The sequence below is a fragment of the Homo sapiens genome, chromosome 11 (genome assembly GCF_000001405.40).
Source record: "Homo sapiens chromosome 11, GRCh38.p14 Primary Assembly".
NCBI lineage: Eukaryota > Metazoa > Chordata > Mammalia > Primates > Hominidae > Homo > Homo sapiens.
The window spans coordinates 31,887,801-31,893,800 of record NC_000011.10 but is presented as its reverse complement, the minus strand read 5'-3'; positions in this window follow the sequence as shown (position 1 = coordinate 31,893,800).

Here is a 6,000-nt window from a genome sequence, read left to right as displayed (position 1 = left end):
CAGCCTGTCATACTGGGGCTCAGAGAAAGGGCCCAATTCCGTGAACTGAAGTGATAAGAACAAAATTGGACAGGAAAGCCAAACAAAAATTCATTCCTGGGACTATAAGCCCATGGGGGTGAGGAGAGCTATCATTTATGGAGTAAACGGAGTTAGGAGATCATTACAGGACATAGACTCTGCCTTCAATTAGCGTAAAAGATGACCCAAAAAACAATAGAGAAGTCCGGAGGCTTAGTGCTAAAGAAGGCCAGTAGGTAACAATACGGGTTATGGAATCTGGGTTCAGGTCCCGGCACCACTCTTTACTCGTTTACTTAGCTCTTAGCCGCAGCTTCCCCAGCTATAAAAATGATAATAATGTAAACATCCTCCCTGGGTTGTTATAAGGATTTAGTGAGATGATGGGTAAAAGGCACTTTTCTCCATGCTTAGCACATAGTGAGCTTTCAGCAATGTCAGCTATTGCTATCTTTCTAGCTCATAGCATTTGGACACATGGATACTGGGCCTGAGAGAGAAACCAATACCAAGCCCTACCAGAAAGGAAGAATGAGGGGCTGACTGGGGTATTCTAAATATGGTCTGGTTTAAGCCGGAAACACGAACAAATCATGGCAAAGGCAAAGAAAATGGGGCAGGAGAGCAACTCTGACAAAACCCACTTGTTTCTAGATTACCACGAAGATATTTTTGGTTTTTAAAGTGTAGCCAAAGGGCTTTGGAAATGGGAGGTATGAGGATAAACAAAGTAGCTTGGCATCAAATATAGAAAATGCTACACAAATGAAAGGGAAGAATCTAGCAAGTGAATCTGTCCACCTGTTTTTTATAATAAAAAATCTTGATTGTAGCCATTAGGGAGGGTCTACCTGGATCAGATTCAGATGTAGAGCCAGGATTCTTTACCTGTAGTTCATACATTTCCGGGTGATTCATGAAAAAGCTTGGGGGAACCCATGAACCACCCAAAATTGCGTGCAGTCTTGTATGTTTGTTTGCCTGATCTTTTGATGGGGAGAAGGAAGCAGGCTCAGATTCTCTAAATGATCCCCAACATTTTAAGAACCCCTGATTCTCTAAGAACACATGGACTTTATAAAGTCAACAAAAGGATTTTGGGGAAAGATCCACATAAGCGTAAATTATACAGCAATGTGTAACTAGAGCATGATGGTTAAAATGACAGTTTATGGAATATTCATTTGTCTTCAAAATCTGGCTGCATAACTGGTATAGTAGTCTCCCCTTATCTGCAGGAGATATGTTTCAAGACCCTTGGTGGATGCCTGAAACCTCAAAGAGTACTGAACCCCATATATAGATACTATGTTTTTTCCTATATATACATAAGTACATATGATAAACTTTAATTTATAAATTAGGCACAGTAATAGATAAATAATAACTAATAATAAAATAGAACAATAATAACAATATACTGTAATAAAAGTTGTATGGATGTGGTCTCTCTCTCTCTCAAAATATCTTATTGAATTGTACTCACCTATTTTCTGACTGAAACTGCAGAAAGCAAAACCCTGGACAAGTGGGGACTACTGTAGTTGTGTGGCCATGGGCAAGTTAATTAAGTCCTTTATATCAGTTAGCCAGTGCTGCATAACAAATCATCCCCAAACACAGTGACTTAAATTAACAATCATTTTATATTTCTTACAAGTTTGCAAGTCAACTGAGGTTTGGTTGACATAGGCTGGGCTTGGATACTAAAGCTCTGCTCTGCACAGCTCTCATCCTCTTCTCAGGACCAGAGGGAGCCCACATCATGTTCTTCTCTTGGCAATGACAGAGGCACAAGAGAGCAAGCAGCAACATGCAAAGTCTCTAAGACCTAAGCTCCAAACTGGCACATGGTCACTTTTGCCTCATTCCTTTGGTCAAAAGAAGTCACACAGCAAAACTCAGTACCAAGGGGTAAGAAAATACAGTGACAGAGTTCAGGACACACTATCCCAAAATATGGCACCTTGGCATCTGAGGAAACAGCAGGAGAAGGAAAGTCACTCTCACCTTCCTCTCGCTCTTCTCCCTTGAAGCAGGTCACAAAACCTAAGAACGATTTTCTGACCTTACCCTGAAATGGGTCATATAAGACCCCCATTCGCAAGATGTTCTCCCTATACCTGGAGGAAAGAAACATCTTTATCTCTGAAGACACAGGGTATCAGAGAAGAATCTGACCAAAGAGGCCTTGCTAAGTTCTCCCAGTTTATTACCATTACACCATAACCCTTTTGTCCAATTATTTGTCTTCATGATTGTCCATTATTAGTCAAACTTAGCATAAAAATACACAAGTTTAACTGTTTCTTTGAGTGTTCCTTTCCTTAGAAAGCTCCTGTGTCATGTAAAACTTATCTTAAATAAATTTGTAAGCTTTTCTTTTGTTAAACCATCTTTTGTTACAGAGGCCTTAGCCATGAACCTAGCAATAGGTGAGGAAAAGATACTTTTCCTCCTCTACAATACCCTGACCCTTTTGTGGAAAGAACAGCAAAGTTACATGGCAACGGCAACAGATATAGGGAGGAGAGAAGAACTGGGGCTACTGTTGCCCTTTCCCACCTCCCCTACACCTTTATTATTCCATTTGTGAAATGGAATAATAATAGATCATGCTTCATACCATTATGAGAGGATTAAAGGAGATGACATATTTTTAAATACTTTTCATGGTGTCTGGCACATTAGTGTTCAATACATAATATCTCATTATTACTAATAACTATTGTTATTGCTCCACTTTTGTGCTCTAGCAAGGCTTGGATGCCCCCCTTCTCCTTGCCCAGGTCCTCCCCTTCAGATATCCCTTCTATGTGCCACGGCTCTTGCTACCATCTGCAGAACCATTTCTTATTCTGTTTGAAATTACTCAAATCCCTCATTTTAAAAACATATGCTTCAGCCCCAATAGGAGGACCAACCATCATCACGTGGCCCTGCTATGATGTACTAAGAAAAGCACATCACTTGTGTTATATTCCTGCTAAAATTATATAACCTAAATCTTATTGCAAAGAAACACCAGGGAAAACCATATTGAAGGACATTTTACAAAATAACTGGCCTGTACTCTTCAAGAATGTCAATTATTAGCCAGGCACAGTGGCTCACATCTGTGATCCCAGCACTTTGGGAGGCCAAGACAGGAGCATCCCTTGAGCTCAGGAGTTCAAGACCTGCCTGGGTAACATATTGAGACCTCGGCCGGGTGTGGTGGCTCACGCCTGTAATCCCAGCACTTTGAGAGGCCGAGGCGGGAGGATCACAAGTTCAGGAGATCGAGACCGCATCCTGGCTAACGCGGTGAAACCCCGTCTCTACTAAAAAGACAAAAAATTAGCCAGGCATGGTGGCGAGCGCCTGTAGTCCCAGCTACTCAGGAGGCTGAGGCGGGAGAATGGCGTGAACCCAGGAGATGGAGCTTGCAGTGAGCCAAGATCGTTCCACTGCACTCCATCCAGCCTGGGCGACAGAGCGAGACTCTGTGTAAAAAACAAACAAACAAACAAACAAAAAACATAGTGAGACCTCATCTCTTCAAATAAAAAAATTAGATGGGTGTGGGCTGGGCGTGATGGCTCACACCTGTAATCCCAGCACTTTGAGAGGCGGAGGCAGGGGCATCACCTGAGGTCAGGAGTTTGAGACTGGCCTGGCCAGTGTGGCAAAACCCCATCTCTACTAAAAATACCAAAAAAAAAAAAAAAAAAAATAGCAGGGCATGATGGTCTGTGCCAGTAATCCCAGCTACTGTGGAGGCTGAGACAGGAGAATCGCTTGCCGGGAGGTGGAGGTTGCAGTGAGCCAAGATCTCACCACTGCACTCCAGCTTGGCAACAGAGTGAGACTCCATCTCAAAAAACCAAAACAAAACAAAAAATTAGCTGGGTGTGATTGCGCATGCTTATGGTCCCAGCTACTCAGGAGGCTGAGGTGGGAGAATCACTTGAGCTCAGGCGGTCGAGGTTGTAGTGAGCCATGGCTGCACTCCAGCCTAGATGACAGACTGAGACCCTGTCTCAGAAAAAAAAAAAAAAAAAAGAATGTCAATCATGAAAGACACAGGTTTGATCATCAGTCAGCAAACTATGGTCCTGTAGCCCAATTTGGCCTGCCACTCATTTTTTCAAATAAAGTTTTATTGGAACACAGCCATGTACAATCATTTGTGTATTGTCTATGGCTGTTTTTTGTATGCCAAGGCATGGATGAATAGTTGTGACAGAGACTGTATAGCCTATAACAAGCTTGCCAACCCACGGCCTGCAGGCTGCATGCAGCCCAAGGAGGCTTTGAATGCGGCCCAACACAAATTTGTAAATTTTCTTAAAACATTATGAGATTTTTTTTGAGGGTTTTTTCTTCTCATCAACATCATTGGTGTCAGTATATTTTATGTGTGCCCCAAGACAATTCTTCTTCCTCCAGTGTGGCCCAAGGAAACCAAAAGATTGAACACCCCTGGCCCATAAACTGAAAATATTTACTCCCTGGCCCTTTGCAGAAAAAAATTTTACCTACTTCTGGATTCAATAAAAATTTTGCTAAATTTCCTAGCTTTAACATTTGTACCGAGGTTATATAAAAGAATGACCTTGTTCTCAGAAAATCCACACAGTATGCAGGAGTAAAATGTCATTGTGTCTGCAACTTGCTCTTAAATGTTCAGGAAAAAAATTATAGAGAGAGAGGAAGGGAGAGGGACAGCATGGCAAAGTAAATGTGGCAAAATGTTAACACTTGGTGAGTCTGCATAAAGAATATGTTTTGGGGAGTTCTTTGGATATATTTGCAATTTTTCTGCACATTTGAAATGTTCTCAAGATTCTAAAAGGTTTTTTAAAAAATCTGCATGGGCTCTGCCAAAAGTGACTCTCAGAAGATTATCTCTCTTCCATACACTTTAGAAGATGCCCAGAACTCCTCATGCACTCCTCTCTTGAACTGCTTCTCTCTGTTTCCTTGGCCCTATGGCTTTGTGCTTCCCTGTAACCTGCACTTGTGTGCCCTGGCCCACAGCCCCATCCTATGTGGGACTGCAATTCTGTCTCCACATTATCTTCCTCTTCTTGGCTAGTTCAATAACTTTCTGATTGAGGTTTGATCTGAAAATTTCCCATACTGGACAGAAATATGGACTTTATAAAACATCATATGTGTCACAACTGAACCTGCTGCAGTGAAGGTGTTTCTGTTTTAATAATTTCACCCCCACTGTCACGGAGGCCACGAGCTGACCTAGTGAAAAAATCATTCAAGCTAGAAACCTCTCCATCCCTTCACCACACACCTCCTGTCCCCCTTCAGCCACATTGCTCTCAGGCTTCAGGTGGAGGAAGCTTGAGGAAAGGTGGTTGATACCTATTATTTTCTGCTCAGCAGGGTCTCAGTGGGACAGAATTTCATCTTAAAGGTGTGGGATTTAAAAAACAAAAAAACCCAACAAACTTCCCATACCTTGAGATGTGCTCATATGGAGTATAAACAGCTGATGTGTTACTCTAGAATCACACTCACCCAGAGCATTCTCTCCACACACTTAGTCATTCTCCCTTCCTGGACTGAGTTGGATAGAACTGGTCTGAAACTTTTAGAAAGAAGCAGAGAAAGCCTCTCTCCTTCCCTTTCTCACATATTATCTCATTTTCTCCACACAGCAATCAAGGAAGGCAGTGGAACAAATATTGCTATTTCCATTGAATAGGTCAGAATACTGAGGTTAGGAGAAATTAAATAACTACTAACTTAGGTCACATGAGTAGGAGTGGTAACATCAGAAATAGACAAAAAAGGCAAAGGGCGCATGTGCGGGATAGTCAGAAGAACAGAGAATGAGAAGCTGGTCATCCTGGCATTAATCCCAGCATCCTGCTAATTCCAGTTCCAAGGTTATGGAAACTTGGATTCTTTACTTAATGCCTGCAAACTTCAGTTTCCTCATCTGCAAAACCAGCATAATAAAATTTACTTCCTGGA